The 19,371-nt window shown below is 40.0% G+C and overlaps 2 protein-coding genes across 16 annotated transcripts in view, besides 1 other annotated feature; one reads left to right on the forward strand and one right to left on the reverse strand.

The window, feature by feature from the left end:
* Positions 1-19,371, forward strand: part of ARMC2 (armadillo repeat containing 2) — a 204,619-nt gene that overhangs the window by 119,908 nt on the left and 65,340 nt on the right. For 11 of the 13 annotated variants that reach the window (XM_005267154.5, XM_005267155.3, XM_006715573.3 and 8 more), the window contains one exon: positions 5,028-6,147. The exons of the other annotated variants lie outside the window; for them this stretch is intronic. In XM_005267154.5, coding sequence (XP_005267211.1) covers positions 5,028-5,185 — 158 coding nt within the window. In that variant the 3' untranslated portion in view covers positions 5,186-6,147. Of the gene's footprint in view, positions 1-5,027; positions 6,148-19,371 lie in introns of those variants that run through there. 13 annotated transcript variants of the gene reach the window in all.
* Positions 13,884-14,084: a silencer, noted in NCBI's record as "peak6016 fragment used in MPRA reporter construct". NCBI's record gives its function as "represses an SCP1 promoter by STARR-seq MPRAs in K562 erythroleukemia cells {active_cell/tissue: K562}" and the evidence as "EXISTENCE:reporter gene assay evidence [ECO:0000049][PMID:32103011]".
* The window catches only part of SESN1 (sestrin 1), a 110,538-nt gene continuing 107,146 nt past the window's right edge, over positions 15,980-19,371 (reverse strand). For all 3 annotated transcript variants that reach the window (NM_014454.3, NM_001199933.2, NM_001199934.2), the window contains exon 10: positions 15,980-19,301. In NM_014454.3, coding sequence (NP_055269.1) covers positions 19,215-19,301 — 87 coding nt within the window. In that variant the 3' untranslated portion in view covers positions 15,980-19,214. The remainder of the gene's footprint in view (positions 19,302-19,371) is intronic.

The following is a 19,371-nucleotide window of genomic DNA, read 5'->3' on the forward strand; positions in this document are numbered from 1 at the left end:
ACTAGCCTTGTGTTTTCCAGCCGCTCCGTTACCTAGAACACCCTTACTCCACTGCACCTTGTGCAGGGGGACTGTGGCATGGATAACAGCAAATAAACACAGCTCACTCAGGAAGCCAAGCCACTGCAATGCATCCCAGGTTTCTCACGTGAGCTCCTCTTCACGAACCATGGGGACTGTGCCTTGTGGGCTGGGTGGTGGGCTGTGCTGCCTCCTGGCTTTTCTCTTGGCAATGAGCACTCAGACCCTGACTTCTGACCGGGTCGTGGCTGGGTCTGGGCAGTGGGACTGCTGCGAGTGAAATGGGCATGTGGGTGAGAGTATACTTGCATTTCAATTCTTTTACAAAGATAGCTAAAACAAACAAACAAACAAAAACAGGCCATTTTGGAAACAGGATGAGCTGTTGAATTACCAAGGCCTGTGTTGAAGTATGAACACTGTTTTTGCAAATACTGGTATGGCAATTTCTATAGTAATGTAAGTTACCTAACTTTTTCTTGCTGAGTGACTAGAAAAAAAGGAGAAGTAATATACCCTCAACATCGTTGGAATGTTGACAGTCTTTCTGGAAAGTGGCTTTAAAAGAACGTGGTCTGAAACTTCCCATTATACTGCAGTCATGTCTTATGAGCTCATAAGCAGCGTGTTGATGCTGAAGTTCTTAGTGGTGTGCTGAGCACTCCAGACTACCATGAGCCCCTCTGTGGGGAGCTGGCACCTGATGACCATGTGTGTAGTTTATTGTTGCAAATGGGAAGTACACTAGGCTGTTGTATGTTCATCCTAAGTTTTGTGGCAGTGGGCACTTAGGTTTTGTGACAAGGGTAGAGCGGGGCCCCACGTTCAAGTTGGAGGATCACATCAACCTATGTTGAAGAGCTTTCAGGTGCTTCTAGAACATTCGACAACTTTGCCTTATAAGAGAATGGTCAGGGCGATGATAAATCCCTTAAACAGCCATCTGCTGCTGAACAGCTAGCTAGGAAATAGTGTAGTGAGTAAAGGAAGCTTTTATAGATGCTGCAGGACACAAACTTCTAATGATGATTGTGTTGTAATGACCATTGATACATATTTATATTTTAGGGTCTTTTAATTCTTTCTAATACTTTGCCCCAAATTTTAGTATTTGGAAGCATGCTGTGCCTAAAGAAAGCTTAAGAATGATTGGTTACCTAAATAAGCACTTTTCACACTGCAGGTCAGGAAAACAATTTAGTTGGTTGTGACCAGCATCTTTAAAAAATGAAGTAGCAAAGAAAGAAAATATCAGAATGTATTATATTTAGTAAAGACAAGTATTATAATGTGAAACATTTGTTTATTCATATATAAGTAGGTATATGTATACAGAGTCATGATGCAAAATACTGTGAAGCACAGTTTCTAACTTATGATGATTCAAATCTTAAAAAGAATTAATCAAAGGCTGAGTGCAATGGCTCATGCCTGTAATCCCAGCACTTTGGGAGGACGAGGTGGGAGAATCACTTGAGGCTAGGAGTTTGAGACCAGCTTGGGCAACGTAGTGAGACCCATCTCTACTAAAAGTGAAAAAATTAGCTGGGTGTGTGTGTTTTGTAGTCTTAGCCACTCAGGAAACTGAGGTGGGAGAATCACTTGAGCCCAGGAATTCAAGGCTACAGTGAGCTATGATTGCACCACTGCATTCCAGCCTGGGTGACAGAATGAGACTCTGTCTCTTAAAAAAAAAAATTGAATCATAGATCTAAATTTTTACTCAATCAGCCTCTGCTACTCTTTGCAGTACAAGTTCCAAAATTTAATACCCCATGTGATATGGCACTTTTAATGTATGTTGCTGTGTTTACTTTGAAACTTTAGACCTCATTTCTCTTACCTGTAGCTGTTTGGCTATTCTTGTTATCTTGTCTAACCCAATTTAGAATTAATATGGTTTGAGGGTGGATTAACTATAGGCTGGGCCTCAAGACAAGTAACATGGTCTTGACATTAGATTTTAAAAAGCCACTCACCCAACAGAGATTTTGCTAAAACCACTAAATCTAACCAAAGCCCTAGGAGAAAGAAGGGACTATGACATGCCCAGGCCACACTGCTCAGCCGCCAGCAGCTTGGGAAAGAAGGGCTTCTGCAACAGAATGCATTTTCTTTCTTTCTTTTCTTTTTCTTCTCTTTTCTTTTTTTTTTTTTTTTTTTTTGAGACAGAGTCTCTCACTGTCGCCCAGGCTGGAGTGCAATGGCACGATCATGGCTCACTGCACTCTCTGCCTCCTGGGTTCAAGTGATTCTCCTGCCTCAGCCTCCCAAGTAGCTGGGACTACAGGAGCCCGCCACATGCCTGGCTAATTTTTTGTATTTTTAGTAGAGATGGGGTTTCATCATGTTGGCCAGGTTGATCTTGAACTCCTGACCTCAGGTGATCCACCTGCCTCAGCCTCCCAAAGTGATGGGATTATAGGCGTGAGCCACCGTACCCAGAATTTATTTTCTATACAACAGAATTCATTTTCTATACAACAGAATTTTATTTTTATACAGCAGAATTCACTTTTCAACAAAATTTAATGTTCAGAAAATCTGGAAAACAGTGAGCAGGAAGATGGCCTAGAAATGTGAAATCACTGGCTGGGCGCTGTGGCTCACACCTGTAATCCCAGCACTTTGGGAGGCCAAGGTGGGTGGATCACCTGAGGTCAGGAGTTCGAGACCAGCCTGGGCAACATGGCAAAACCCCATCTCTACTAAAAACACAAAAAATTAGCCTGGTCTGGTGGCACATGCCTGTAGTCCCAGCTACTTGGGAGGCTGAGGCACAAGGATCACTTGAATCTGGGACATGAAGGTTGCAGTGAGCCGAGATCACACCATTGCACTCCAGAGTAGACTCTGTCTCGAAAAAACGGAATGAAATCTGAATCACTGAGACTACCTGACTCTTTTTGTCTGGAAGTAGCCAAACAGGAAGAGCTCTGAACGCACCACATATCACCTGCATTCTCCTCCCCTCAGGGCCCAGTTATCTCATGGGTGGGGAGATCCAGGTTTGCTTACAGGGTCTCCATGGAGCTCCTTGCCGAAGTGTTTGTGTCTGCCTGGAGCTTATCTCAGAACTGCATAGTTGACCACTTGGTTGTGATGAGAGGAAGGTACAAACTGGGATTCCAGACTCCCTTATCTTATTTTGGGTGGTGACACTAACACCCATAGTGCCAAAGTACACAGTGAATGTACACAAATATTCAGTGTAGAAAATCTGATATCAACAGAGTCATGAAGCATTTTGTAATAGGATTTTCATTGGCCCTTAAAAAAAAAGTATCGGCAGCTGGGTGCAGTGGCTCACGCCTGTAACCTAGCACTTTGGGAGGCCAAGGCAGGCGGATCACTTGAGGTCAGGAGTTGGAGACCAGCCGGGCCAACATGGTAAAACTCTGTCTCTACTAAAAAGAAAAAATTAGCTGGGTGTGGTGGCACATGCCTGTAATCCCAGCTGCTCAGGAGGCTGAGGCAGAGGAATTGCTTGAACCCGGGAGGCAGAGGTTGCAGTGAGCCGAGACTGCGCCACTGCACTCCAGCCTGGGTGACACAGCGAGAGTCCATCTCAAAAAAAAAAAAAAAAAAGTGTTGGCAATTTAAGTAACAACATCTGTGGTTGTTTTAGGATTTAGTGGTTACCATTTTAGAAGTTGGCCTCATGTCACAAATGTAGGAAGTGGCAGAGCTAATCTGATTGGCAGGTCAGTGCACTTTTCTGAAGTCTGTCACACAGAGTGTGAGGCTCAACATCAACATGTAAAATTGCTGTGGCAATCAGCACAGAAACCTCAGTGGTCATTTATCTTCCTACTTGGATTGAATATATTTATGGTCATTTATCTTCCTACCTGGATTGAATATATTTATGGTGTTCCCAGAATTCCTTGGATTAAGAATTGAAGTTGTACTTTTGCATTTTATTCTTACAAGTTCTTTTCTGCATTATCCATGGGCTCACTTGGGATTCTAATACTCCTTGGGATTCCCAAGGTCTCTCAGTTTTCAGTTATGGAGAGAGTTTGGGGGTGGAAAGTTGTCTTTCCAAAGTACTACTTCCCTGCTGCTTTGAAGCCAGCAAAGTTCTGATTTTCAGTAAAGTTTAAAGTGTCAAATTTAACTGAGCTATTTTCCTAAAAGATTTCCTGATTCCTTTTATACCTAACCTTTGAAGTAATTAATTTTTCTATGTACACATAAGGAAGTAACATATTAATACGTTGTTTATTCTGAGAAATTGTGATCTGACTTTTAGATACAAACTTACATATAAAAAACTAAGGAATTAGTTGAAATAAGGGTTCAGTTCAATTTTGGATTTTTTATTTTTTGAGACAGGGTCTCTCTGTGTCTCTTAGGCTGGATGGCGGTGGCATGATCGTGCCCCACTGCAGCCTCAATGTCCCGTGCTCAAGTGATTCTCCTGACCTCAGCCTCTCGAGTAACTGGGACCACAGGCACATGCCCCCATGCCCAGATAATCTTCTGATTTTTTTTTTTTTTTCTGAGCTGTCACTGTGTTGCCCAAGCTAATCTTGAACTCTGGGGCTCAAGCAATTCTCCTACCTCAGGCTCCCAATGTGTTGGCATTACAGGTATGAGCCACCACAACTGGCCAGACTTTTTTTGAAAAAAATATTGCCCATTTAAATTAAGATACCAAAATAGACTAATTGTAAACTAATGGGCTTGGCGAGGTAGCGCACACCTGCAATCCCAGCACTTTGGCACTTGGGGAGGCCAAGGTGGGAGGATTGCTTGAGGTCAGGAGTTGGAGACCAGTCTGGGTAATACATGGAGACCCTGCCTCTCCAAATAAAATAAAATAAAATGATGTATTCATAAAGAACAGAAGAGAGTAAAGAACTTCTCTGAAATCCTGTCTTGTGTTACGTTGGTATTAAAGGACGACCCAGGGTGAGTTTAACTCATATCATCAAAATTAAACTATATTCAATAGGATTACATTTCTAAATAATGCTGTAATTTAAATTTTTCTAATACAGATGAAGAACTAGCACTGGATGGCAGTTTTGATCCAGACCTAAAAAACTATCACAAACTCCATTGGGAAACAGAATTCAAACCTGTGGCACAGCAGCTTCTAAACCGAATTCAGAGACATCACACCTTCCTGGAACCCCTGCCCATTCCCTCTTTCTAACATGATGCAGATTAACAGTAGAAACGAGAACTCACGTCTCCCTCATTCTTAAGAACTGGTAACAAACGTGAACATTTTTTTCAGCATTAACAAATGTGGAAAGTTTTTCAAGAACTGGTTTTAGTGAGTAGCTGAAGTATTTTTTAAAATTAAGCATTTCTTCTTGTTAGGTATTATGGAAAAATGAATATACACATTATATTTCCTGTTGAGAGAAATGTAAGATGAAAATATGTGCATTTTCAAGTAAATGACTTTTTCTTCTATTCTCTATTAAACAATTTAGTTCTAGTCTTAAAATCTTGATTTAACAATTTTGGAATTGAAGTGTTCATAAGTTAAATGAACTGTGCAATGAAGGCTGTTAGATTATATAGAAAGAAGGGTAGGCAACATGAGTGGAACACGTTACAACATAGGATCTGTACTAATTCTTACTATGTCAAATAATAAATGCTCTCATTAGGTACCAGTATTTTTTTGGTCTTTATATTAAGAGAAGGAGTAAGCAGAAAAACTTAAAGAAAACTGCTTTGGGCCATCTGTTCTTTATTAAATAAGTAAAATAGATAAAATGAGAGTATATTTTCATTTGAAATAAAATGACTGGACTAAGACAGTCCTTCTAATTGTAACTCTCTGTGTTTGACAGGTGAGGTAATGTATTAGAAAGAATGCAGGCTTAGGTGAATGGTATACCTGAATCTGAATCCATGCTCTCCCCTGCTAGCTTTGTGGGCCTGGAGCAAGTAACTTAATTTCTTGAGCTGCAACTGCAAAATGGGAATCATATCAATTTTACTGTAGTGTAGTTTGGAACAAACCATTAAATGGGCAAATGGCCCAGTCCAGTGTATCATGTGGAGTGGGTGTTCAAGAACATTATGATGGCAAGCACTTTCTTAGCTTGCCATCCTTTGTAGGATGAGTTTGGCCTTTGAATAAATGATTAAAGAGCAAAAGATTGAGATTACTATTATTATCCTATACTAGCCAAATGAAGATGAGTTGGAAATAAAAATAAATTTGCTGGCTCACACCTGTAATTCAGTACTTTAGAAGGCGGAGTGGGGAGGATCCCATGAGGCTAGGATTTCAAGACCAGCCTGGGCAACAAAGTGAGACCTCATCTCAACAACAAAAAGCAAATTTACTACTCTGCTTGGAGAAAAGCTTTTATAAACAGCTCATTTCTCACCCTACAAAACACCAAGACTCATGGGATGAGAGCAGGCATCCCAGACTGAATGGGGTTCTTGAAGCCTATTAGAATAAACCAGCTGGGCATGGTGGCTCACACCTGTAATCCCAACACTCTGGGAGGCCGAGGCGGGCATATCACCTGAGGTCGTGAGTTCGAGACCAGTTTGGCCAACATGGTGAAACCCCATCTCTACTAAAAATACAAAAATTAGTCTGGCATGGTTGCACATGCCTGTAATCTCAGCTACTCGCGAGGCTGAGGCACGAGAATCTTTCTCTCTCTCTTTTTTTTTTTCTTAATTATTATACTTTAAGTTCTGGGGTACATATGCAGAATGTGGAGGTTTGTTACATGGGTATACATGTGCCGTAGTGGTTTGTTGCACCCATAACCCATCATCTACATTAGGTATTTCTTCTAATGCTGTCCCTCCCCTAGCCCCCAACCCCCTGATGGACCCCAGTGTGTGATGTTCCCCTCTGTGTGTCCATGTGTTCTTATTGTTCAGCTCCCACTTATGAATGAGAACATGTGGTGTTTGGTTTTCTGTTCCTGTGTTAGTTTGTTGAGAATGATGGTTTCCAAATTCATCCATGTCCCTGCAAAGGACATGAACTCATCCTGATTTATGGCTTCATAGTATTCCATGGTATATATGTGCCAAATTTTCTTTATCCAGTCTATCATTGATGGGCATTTGGGTTGATTCCAAGTCTTTGCTATTGTGAACAGTGCTGCAATAAACATACATGTGCATGTGTCTTTATAGTAGAATGATTTATAATCCTTTGGGTATATACCCAGTAATGGGATTGCTGGGTCAAATGGTATTTCTAGTTCTAGATCCTTGAGGAATTGCCACACTGTCTTCCCAATGGTTGAACTAATTTACACTCCCACCAACAGTGTAAAAGCATTCCTATTTCTCCACATCCTCTCCAGTATCTGTTGTTTCCTGACTTTTAATGATTGCCATTCTAACTGGCGTGACATGGTATCTCATTGTGGTTTTGATTTGCATTTCTCTAATGACCAGTGATGATGAGCTTTTTTTCATGTTTGTTGGCTGCATAAATGTCTTCTTTTGAGAAGTGTCTGTTCATATCCTTTGCCCACTTTTTGATGGGGTTGTTTGTTTTTTCTTATAAATTTGTTTAAGTTCTTTGTTGATTCTGGATATTAGCCCTTTGTCAGATGGATAGACTGCAAAAATTTTCTCGTATTCTGTAGGTTGCCTGTTCACTCTGATGATAGTTTCTTTTGCTGTGCAGAAGCTCTTTAGTTTAACTAGATCCCACTTGTCAATTTTGGCTTTTGTTGCCATTGCTTTTGATGTCTTAGTCATGAAGTCTTTGCCCATGCCAATGTCCTGAATGGTATTATTGCCTAGGTTTTCTTCTAGGGTTTTTATGGTTTTAGGTCTTACATTTGAGTCTTTTATCTACCTTCAGTTAATTTTTGTATAAAGTGTAAGGAAGGGATCCAGTTTCAGCTTTCTGCATATGGCTAGCCAGTTTTCCCAACACCATTTATTAAATAGGGAATCCTTTCCCCATTTCTTGTTTTTGTCAGGTTTGTCAAGGATCAGATTGTTGTAGATGTGTGGTGTTATTTCTGAGGCCTCTGTTCTGTTCCATTGGTCTATATCTCTGTTTTGGTACCAGTACCATGCTGTTTTTTTTACTGTAGCCTTGTAGTATAGTTTGAAGTCAGGTAGCATGATGCCTCCAGCTTTGTTCTTTTTGCTTAGGATTCTCTTGGCTATGTGGGCTCTTTTTTGGTTCCGTATGAAATTTAAAGTAGTTTTCTCCAATTCTGTGAAGAAAGTCAGTGGTAGCTTGATGGGGATAGCATTGAATCTATAAAATACTTTGGGCAGTATGGCCATTTTGACGATATTGATTCTTCCTATCCATGAGCATGGAATGTTTTTTTAATTTGTGTCCTCTCTTACTTCCTTGAGCAGTGGTTTGTAGTTCTCCTTGAAGAGGTCCTTCACATCCCTTGTAAGTTGTATTCCTAGGTATTTTATTCTCTTTGTAGCAATTGCGAATGGGAGTTCACTCACGATTTGGCTCTCTGTTTGTCTGCTATTAGTTTATAAGAATGCTTGTGATTTTTGCACATTGATTTTGTATCTTGAGACTTTGCTGAAATTGCTCATCAGCTTAAGAAGATTTTGGGCTGAGACGATGTGGTTTTCTAAATATACAGTCATACCATCTGCAAACAGAGACAATTTGACTTCATCTTTTCCTAACTGAATACCCTTTATTTCTTTCTCTTGCCTGATTGCCCTGGCCAGAACTTCCAATACTATGTTGAATAGGAGTGGTGAGAGAGGACATCCTTGTCTTGTGCTGATTTTCAAAGGGAATGCTTCCAGCTTTTGCCCATTCAGTATGATATTGCCTGTGGGTTTGTCATAAATAGCTCTTATTATTTTGAGATACTCCATCAATACCTACTTTATTGAGGGTTTTTAGCATGAAGGCTGTTGAATTTTGTCAAAGGCCTTTTCTGCATCTATTGAGATAATCATGTGTTTTTTGTCATTGGTTCTGTTTGTTATGGATTACGTTTATTGATTTGCGTATGTTGAACCAGCCTTGCATCCCAGAGGTGAAGCCAACTTGATCATGGTGGATAAGCTTTTTGATGTGCTGCTGGATTCGGCTTGTCAGTATTTTATTGAGGATTTTCGCATCGATGTTCATCAGGGATATTGGCCTTAAATTTTCTTTTTTTGTTGTATCTCTGCCAGGTTTTGGTATCAGGATGATGCTGGCCTCATAAAATGAGTTAGAGGGGATTCCCTCTTTTTCTTTTGTTTGGAATAGTTTCAGAAGGAATGGTACCAGCTCCTTTTTGTACCTCTGGTAGAATTAGACTGTGAATCTGTCTGGTCCTGGGCTTTTTTTGGTTGATATGCTATTAATTGCTGCCTCAATTTCAGAACTTGTTATTGGTCTATTCTGGGATTTAGCTTCTTCCTGGTTTACCCTTGGGAAGGTGTATGTGTCCAGCAATTTATCCATTTCTTCTAGATTTTCTAGTTTATTTGCATATAGGTGTTTATAGTATTCTGTGATGGTAGTTTGTATTTCTGTAGGATCGGTGGTGATATCCCCTTTATCATTTTTTATTGCGTCTATTTGATTCTTCTCTTTATTCTTCTTTATTAGTCTGGCTAGTGGTCTATTTATTTTGTTGATCTTTTCAAAAAACCAGCTCCTGGATTCATTGATCTTTTGAAGGTTTTTTTATGTCTCTATCACTTTCAGTTCTGCTCTGATGTTAGTTATTTCTTGTCTTCTGCTAGCTTTTGAATATGTTTGCTCTTGTTTCTCTAGTTCTTTTAGTTGTGATGTTAGGGTGTCGAATTTAGATCTTTCCTGCTTTCTCTTGTGGGCATTCAGTGCTATAAATTTTCCTCTACACACTGCTTTAAATATGTCCCAGAGATTCCGGTACATTGTGTCTTTGTTCTCATTGGTTTCAAAGAATGTCTTTATTTCTGCCTTCATTTTGTTATTTACCCAGTAGTCATTCAGGAGCAGGTTGTTCAGTTTCCATGTAGTTGAGCGGTTTTGAGTGAGTTTCTTAGTCCTGAGTTCTAATTTGATTGCACTGTGGTCTGAGAGACTGTTATGATTTCTGTTCTTTTCCATCTGCTGAGGAGTGTTTTACTTCCAACTATGTGGTCAATTTTAGCATAAGTGCAATGTGGTGCTGAGAAGAATGTATATTCTGTTGATTTGGGGTGGAGAGTTCTGTAGATGTCTATTAGGTCCACTTGGTCCAGAGCTAAGTTCAAGTCCTGGATATCCTTGTTAAATTTCTGTCTCATTGATCTTTCTAATACTGAAAGTGGGGTGTTAAAGTCTCTGACTATTATAGTGTGGGAGTCTAAGTCTCTTTGTAGGTCTCTAAGAACTTGCTTTATGAATCTGGGTGCTCCTGTATTGATGCGTACATATTTAGGACAGTTAGTTCTTCTTGTTGCATTGATCCCTTTACCATTAGGTAATGCCCTTCTTTGTCTCTTTTGTTCTGTATTGGTTTAAAGTCTGTTTTATCAGAGGGTAGGATTGCAACCCCTGCTTTTTTTTTTTCTTTCTGTTTGCTTGGTAAATATTCCTCTATCCCTTTATTTTGAGCCTGTGTGTGTCTTTCCACATCAGATGGGTCTCCTGAATACAGCATACCAATGGGTCTTGACTCTATATCCAATTTGCCAGTCTGTGTCTTTTAATTGGGACATTTAACCTGTTTACATTTAAGGTTAATGTTGTTATGTGTGAATTTGATCCTGTCATTATGATGATAGCTGGTTATTTTGCCCGTTGTTGCAGTTTCTTTGTAGCATCAATGGTCTTTACAATTTGGTATGTTTTTGCTGTGGCTGGTACCGGTTGTTCCTTTCCACGTTTAGTGCTTCCTTCAGGAGTTCTTGTAAGGGAGGCCTGGTGGTGACACAATCTCTCAGCATTTGCTTGTCTGTAAAGGATTTTATTTCTCCTTCACCTATGAAGCTCAGTGTGGCTGGATATGAAATTCTGGGTTGAAAATTCTTTTCTTTAAGAATGTTGAATATTGGCCCCACTCTCTTCTGGCTTGTAGCGTTTCTGCCGAGAGATCCGCTGTTAGTCTGAAGGGCTTCCCTTTGTGGGTAATCCGACCTTTCTCTCTGGCTGCCCATAACATTTTTTCCTTCATTTCAACCTTGGTGAATCTGCCGATTATGTGTCTTGGGGTTGCTCTTTTCGAGGAGTATCTTTGTGGTGCTCTCTGTATTTCCTGAATTTGAATGTTGGCCTGCCTTGCTAGATTGGGGAAGTTCTCCTGGTTAATATCCTGAAGAGTATTTTCCAACTCGGTTCCATTTTCCCCGTCACTTTCAGATACACCAATCAGACGTAGATTTGGTCTTTTCACATAGTCCCCTACTTCTTGCAGGCTTTGTTCGTTTCTTTTCATTCTTTTTTCTCTAATCTTGTTTTCTTGCTTTATTTCATTGAGTTGATCTTCAATCTCTGATATCCTTTCTTCTGCTTGATAGATATGGCTATTGATACTTGTGTATGCTTCACGAAGTTCTTGTGCTGTGTTTTTCAGTTCCATCAGGTCGTTCATGTTCTTCTATAAACTTATTCTAGTTAGCAATTCATCTAACCTTTTTTCAGGGTTCTTAGCTTACTTGCATTGGATTAGAACATGCTCCTTTAGCTCGGAGGAGTATGTTATTACCCACCTTCTGAAGCCTATTTCTGTCAATTTGTCAAACTCATTCTCCGTCCAGTTTTGTTCCCTTGCTGGCAAGGAGTCGTGATCTTTTGGAGGAGAAGAGGCATTCTTGTTTTTGGAATTTTAAGGCTTTTTGTGCTGGTTTCTCCCCATCTTCGTGGATTTACCTACCTTTGGTCTTTGATGTTGGTGTCCTTCAGGTGAGGTCTCTGAGTGGACGTCCTTTTTGTTGATGTTGATACTATTCCTTTCTGTTTGTTAGTTTTCCTTCTAACAGGCCCCTCTGCTGCAGTTCTGCTGAAGTTTGCTGGAGGTCCACTATAGACCCTGTTTGCCTGGGTGTCATCAGCGGAGGCTGCAGAACAGCAAATATTGCTGCCTATTCCTTCCTCTGGAAGCTTTGTCCCAGAGGGGTACCTGCCAGATGCCAGCCAGAGCTCTCCCGTATGAAGTATCTGTTGGTTCCTACTGGGAGGTGTCTCCCAGTCAGGATACGCGGGTGGCCAGGGAACCACTTGAGGAGGCAGTCTGCTCCTCCTCAGGAGTTCTCCTGAGGAGAACGCCTGCTGGGAGATCTGCTGCTCTCTTCAGAGCCAGCAGGCAGGGACGTTTAAGTTTGCTGACACTGCACCCACAGCCGCCCCTTCCCCCATGTGCTCTGTCCCAGGGAGATGGGGGTTTTATCTATTAGTCCCTGACTGGGCCTGCTGCCTTTTTTTCAGAGATGCCCTGCCCAGAGAGGAGGAATCTAGAGAGGCAGTCTGGCCACAGCAGCCTTGCTAAGCTGTGGTGGGCTCCACCCAGTTCAAACTTCCCAGTGGCTTTGTTTCATGAAAATCTCTTGAACCTCGGAGGTGGAGGTTGCAGTAAGCCGAGATTGTGCCACTGCACTATAGCCTGGGCAGCAGCACAAGACTGTCTCAAAAAAACAAAACAAAACAAAAAAACCTACATTTCCAGGAACAAATAGACTTTCTGAGAATGGTTCTAGTCTAGGGTTCATACCTGATGTGGCTCAGCAAAATCCTCTAGGGACACTCGCCTTATTGTAGTCCATAATGTAAGTATATGCTGGTAGATTCACTCCAACAGATGAAATCAGTTTAAGTCACAGGGGCTAATTTATCTAAAACATTCACAGATATAATGTATTTCATCCATAGCAAGCTATTTATTCTACTTTTAGTGGAAAAAAAAGTCAAACTCTCCCCTCGCCAAACAGCCCCCTTCATATTTATGACTAATATATAGTAACTCATGGTGGGATCCCATTATACCTATTCTCTTCCATACTTAGCTGCTCCCCTCAGACCCACATATAAGCTGGACCATTTGGAACCATCTACTTAAACAAAACCTGTGATTAAAAAAACACGTAAAATCTACCATTTTAACCATTTTAAGTGTACAGTTCAGTAGTTTAAGTATATTCACATTGTTCTGCAACAGATCTCTAGAACTCTTTCATCTTGTAAACTGACGCTATACGCACCAAACAACTCCCCATTTTCACCCCCACCAGCTCTTGGCAACCATCATTCTATTAATACTTTCCATTTCTATGAATTTGACTACTTGATATCTTATATAAGTGGAGCCATACAATAGTTGTGTGTGTGTGACTGGTTTATTTCACTTAGCATAATACTATCAAGGTTCATCCATGTTGTTGCCTGTGATAGGATTTCCTTACTTTTTTTTTTTTTCTTCCCTGAGACAGAGTCTTAGAACAGTCTCTGTTACCCAAGCTGGAGTGCAATGGCATGATCTCGGCTCACTGCAACCTCCGCTTCCCGGGTTCAAGTGATTCTCCTGCTCAGCCTTCCAAGTAGCTGGGATTACAGGCATGCACCACCATGCCTGGCTAATTTTTGTATTTTTAGTAGAGATGGGGTTTCACCATGTTGGCCAGGCTGGTCTTGAACTCCAGGCCTCAAGTGATCCACCTGCCTCAGCCTCCCAAAGTGCTGGGATTACAGGTGTGAGCCACCTGTGCCCTGCTGATTTCTTTCCTTTTTAAGACTGAATAATATTCCATTCTATGAGTATACCACATTTTGTTTATCCATTCATCTGTCAATGAACATTTGGGTTGCCTCCATATCATGGGTATTGTGAATAATGTTGCCATGAATATAGGTTTGCAAATCTCTCTTTGAGATCTTGTTTTCAGTTCTTTTGTGTATATACTCAGAAGTGATGTCTTAGTTCAAGCTGAGATAACAAAAAATATAGTTTGGGTGACTTAACAAAAGTTCATTCCTCACAGTTCTTAAGACTAGGAAGTCCAAAGTCAAGGTGCTGGCCAGTTCAGTTTGTGGTCAAGGCCCTCTTCCTGGTTTGCAGAGGGCTGCCTTTTTGCTCTATCCTCACATGGTGGAGAGAGAGATCATCTCTCACCTGTCTCTCCTTATAAGGGTTTACTGCCACTCATGAGGGCTCCACCCTCAAGACCTAATTACTTCCCAAAGACCACAGGGCTTCAACATGTGAATTTTGGGGGAATGCAAATATTCAGTCCACAGCAAGTGGAATTGCTGTATCATATGGGAATTCTATTTTTAACTTTTTGAGGAACCTCCATCGTGTTTAAGTGGTGATTATCATTTTACATTGTTACCAATGCCACATAAGTGTTCCAATTTCCCCACATCCTCACCAACACTTGTTATTTTGGGAGTTTTAAAAATAGTAGCCACCCTGATGAGTGTGAGGTAATGTGTCTTTGTAATATTGATTTACATTTTTTATAATTAGTCAGGCTGAGCACCTTTTCATAATTTTTGTTTGTTGGTCATTTGTATTATCATCTTTGGAGAAATGTCTATTCAAGTCTTTGGACTTTTCTTTTTTTTTTTTTTTTTGGAGATGAAGTCTCGCTCTGTCACCATGCTGGAGTGCATGGAGTACGGTGGCGCGATCTCAGCTCACTGCAATCTCCGCTTCCCAGGTTCAAGCCATTCTCCTGCCTCAGCCTCCAGAGTAATCCCAGTGGGTTACCGGTGCACACCACCATGCCCAGCTAATTTTTGTGTAGAGACGGGGGTTTTCCTATGTTGGCCAGGATGGTCTCGATCTCCTGACCTCATGATCTGCCTGCCTCGGCCTCCCAAACTGCTGGGATTACAGGCATGAGCCACCACTCCCAGCCCCATTTTTTAGTTATTTGGTTTTTTGAGTTGTAGGAATTCTTCATATATTCTGGATATTAACCTCTTATCAAATATATGATTTGTAAATATTTTCTCCTATCCCATAGGTTGCCTTTTCACTCTGTTGATTATGTCCTTTGATGCACAGACATTTTTAAGTCTGATGTAATTCCAATGGTCTTTTTTTCTTTTGTTGCCCATAATTTCTGTGTCATATCTAAGAAATCATTGCCAAATCCAATGTTGTGAAACTTTCCCCGTGTTTTCATCTAGTTTTACAGTTGTCAGTCTTACATTTAGGTCTTTGAGTTTTTTAATATATAAGGGTCCAACTTCATTCTTTTGCATGTGCATATCTAGTTTTCCTAGCACCATTTGTTAAAGAGACTGTCCTGTCCTTATTGAGTGGTCTTGGTACCTTTGCTAAAGATGATTTGGCCATATATGTGAGAATTTATTTCTGGACCCTATTCCATTGGCCTGTATGTTTGACTTTGTGCCAGTTCCACATTATTTTGATTACTGTTGCTTTGCAATATGTTTTGAAATCAGGGAGTGTGAGACCTCCAACTTTGTTCTTTTTCAAGATTGTTTTGGCTATTCAGGGTCCATTGAAGATTCTAGATGAATTTTGGCATGGAATTCTCTACTTCCGTGAAAAATGCCATTGGGATTTTGATAGAGATTGCATTGAATCTACAGGTCACTCTGGGTGACCATGAGATGTCTTTCCATTTATTTGTGTCTTTAATTTCTTAGTAATGCTTTACAGCAGGGGTCCCCAACCCATGGGCCATGGACCAGTCCTAGTCTGTGGCCTGTTAGGAACTGGCTGCACAGCAGGAGGTGAGTTGTGGGCAAGCAAGCATTACTGCCTGAGCTCTGCCTCCTGTCTGATCAGCTGCAGCACTGGATTTTCATAGGAGCTTGACCCTATTGTGAACTGTGCATGTGAGGGATGTGGGTTGTGCACTCCTTGTAAGAATCTAATACCTGATGATCTGAGGTGGAACAGTTTTATCCTGAAACCATCCCCCACTGCACCGTCCACCCTGGGTCCATGGAAAAACTGTCTTCCATGAAACCAGTCCCTGGTGCCAAAAAGGTTGGGGACTGCTGCTTTAGTTTTCAATGTGTAAGTCTTTTGTCTTAGTCTGTTCAGGCTACTGTAACAAAATACCTTAGACTGGGTAATTTATAGATAACAGAAATTTATTGCTCACAGTTTTGGAGGCTGGGAAGTCCGATATCAAGGATTTAGTGCCTAGTGAGTGTTTTCTTCCTCACAGATGGCACACTCTAGCTGTGTCCTTTCATGGTAGAAGGGGAGCTCCCCAGACCTCTATTAAAGGGCACTAATCCCATTCATGAGAGCAGAGCCCTCTTGATCTTATCACCTCCCAAAGGCCTACTTTTTTAATATCACCACATTGAGGATTACATTTCAGCATACAACATACATCAACATACAAATGTAGGGGAAGACACAAACATTCAGCCATCACATATCCCCTTGGTTAGGTTTATTCCTAAGTATTTTATTCTTTTTGATCCTATTGTAAATGGAATTGTTAAATTTTTTTGGATCATTCATTGTTAGTGTATAGAAATACAACTGATTTTTGTGTGCTGACTTTGTATCCTACAACTTTGCTGAATTTATGCTTCCTCTTGATCACACCATCCTCTGCTGGGGAAGAGCTAGGGTGAGCAAAATCCACAAACTTTCCTAGCCTTTTGGTGCGGCCTTTTCCTGGCTTTGCATTTGCCTAAATGCTGCAGTTTCCCAATTGGTTTCTAGAGTTCTCACAAAGATATTCTGGCCCATATATTGTTAACTCAGCGTCTCTGGGAGAATGAGGACGTGGAGTTCCCAAGTCCATCATCTTGCTGACATTACTCCCATCTACCAGTGTTAGCAAAAAACTAGTATGATGATTCATATATGATATTCACATATACAAATATGCTAGTAACATTTCTGATTCATGTATGATATTCACATATATGAATATGCTAATAAAATTTCAGAGTATATTGATAAAAAGTGCTTATCCAACAAGTTTTACTTATCTACTTATCTCCTGGTGGTCTGTATCAAAATCAATCTCATTCTTAGAGATGATAAAGTTTGGCCTAATAAAAAATTTTCCCAAATACGGCCAAAACAACTCAAGATTTTAACTCTTGAATCCTGGGACCCTCAACCAGAAATCTTCTCATGATTATTTTAGAAGAAAATTTTCCTCTGGTTGGGGAAGGTTTTGATATCCCCAGTGTAATGTACCTTCCCTAATTATTTTGGAAACTACTGGTTTCAAAGATTATATAGTAACATTAGAAATCCTGTGTGTTTAGTTTTGAGAAAACACTCCAACAGGAAGCACCTGCTAAATGGAAGGCATTGAAACATTAACTTTGTATCACATGCACTTTTATTACTTTAGGTATAAACATATTTTTTAACTCATTAAAATTTTGATTTCAATTTCTAAGTGATTATAAGTTCCAGTGGACTAAATGCATTCTAGTTGATCTTGTTTTGTGATCACTCTACTGCTGATTAGAATCTCTACTAGAAATTTTGTATTTTCAAGAGGAGGAACAAAGAGCAGAAATGGGATAAGTAAAATTTTAACTATCTTCTTGGGTTCAATTGTATTGCTCTGGTGAGAGAACTCAGCAGCAGGCAGAAGAGGACAAAGGCATGATGCATATTCAATGAGTAATGCACTTATAAGTAAGTTTCTTTAAATATAAAACATATTGAAGATAATAATACTCTATTCCTAGCTAAGGTTATAGTCTTGTCTTCTCATGAGAGTAAATATCCTTGAGGACAGGTACCACCTCTGTTCAAAATTGATCCTTCCCAACCCCTACTTCCACACTACCCCATACATTTGTAGGCAGGCACTAGATTGAGCTCAATAAATGTTTTGAGGAGTAACTAACAGAGTTATCATCACAACAGCTTCAGTTAAACTTAGAGCTATTTCTACTTGTCTGATGAGTGTCATTTTTTGTTCTGTAGTCTCTCCCTAATGAATCCTTCTTTTTAGTAATTCTTAAAATTCTATTGGAACTCTAAAACAGTTGAAAAGAGAGCAGGCATAGGGCCATACCAGTCATTTCCAAGATAAAAATGGTCTCAGATAAGATTCTAAAGAAAGTCCACTCCTCTTTGTATGTTTCAAAATGGCTTCAAGTGTTGTTTTGCCATTTAAGTGTGAATGTACTTGGCTTATGAAAGTAGATAGAAACTCAAAATTATTACTAATAGTGAAGTCATGATTTTTTAAGAGATTGAGACAGCAAATAAAATTGGAGAAAAATTCTTCTTTATTTAAAAATACCAGTAATACTGACAGACTTCAAAAGCAATTCACGCTTCCAGAATACAAAGTACTTAATACATATTTTCAAACCTGTTTGCATTTCAAACAAAGTTAGCGTTTTTGTAAATCAAATTTGATAACCCGACTAAAAATATTTTCCAGCTTTATTATTTAAGGAGCTGCACAGCCTTTAAAGTGGGGACCAGGAGGCAGGCAGAGGCAGAGAGACTGAATGCACCCAGGACTGCGCAGCAGTCTACAGCAACATGTCCCACAACTTTGGTGCTGGAAACACAAGTAATGCACAAGACAGCTGCCCTCCAGTGTCAGGATCCTGTGAAACAGCATATCAAAAGATCGCCAGCTTCTTATAATTTACACACTTTCATTTAGGATTGCTTTTTGAAGAAAATCTTTAAGAATGCCATTTTAATTTAATATCCAGAACCCTGAATTTAAAAAACTAATGAAAGAAATTAACTGTTACCATCAAAATGGTTGTTGCTGAGCTGTGTGAGTAGGAATTCTATGCTTTTTTAGATGCAAGAAAATTAACACATAATGCAAGTTTAATTTGAAATCACACAAGTTATGTATGTAGGCTCAGATAGTAGCAATGTTCACTTTTATTACTAATAGCTTAACTGAAACAGCCATCTATTCATTCCTCCAGCAGGAATAGCAGCACCAAGATCTTCTAAAATTCTTTACATATAAAGCTTAAGTCATTATCCAAGTCCCATTCTTTGCATGCTCCAATTCTTGTTATCTTATTTAACATAAAAGCAACAGGATTTGGAGAGTTACTATTTGCTGTATTAAAACAGTTACACAGCATCTTGTACTGTCAAAAAGCAAAATACTGTGAATGGCAGCCTGTCTTCACAGCTCTAAACTTGAAGCTGCCAAACAGTCACTGCTTGTGCCAGCAGTGGTTTTCCACAGAAAAATAGCAGAAACTAAAGGAATCATGGCACAATGGATTTCTGAATTATTTTGTCTACCATTGGTCCTGGGGCTTAGTACCTTCCCCCTTGTAGACTATATCTGCTGATCATTCCAGAATCATCTTTAATGAAGGAAAGGCATCAGGTCATATAGCGGGTAATGGCTCTCAGAGCATAAAGGAGTTCTGCTTGCATCCTAGCTTCTATAAGAAGCAGATTAACATGAACCTGAATATAAAATACAACATCATATAAGGAAGGGTTACAAGCATTCACAATCAGTTTTTCAGTGAATCTA

The sequence above is a fragment of the Homo sapiens genome, chromosome 6 (genome assembly GCF_000001405.40).
Source record: "Homo sapiens chromosome 6, GRCh38.p14 Primary Assembly".
NCBI classification, from domain to species: domain Eukaryota; kingdom Metazoa; phylum Chordata; class Mammalia; order Primates; family Hominidae; genus Homo; species Homo sapiens.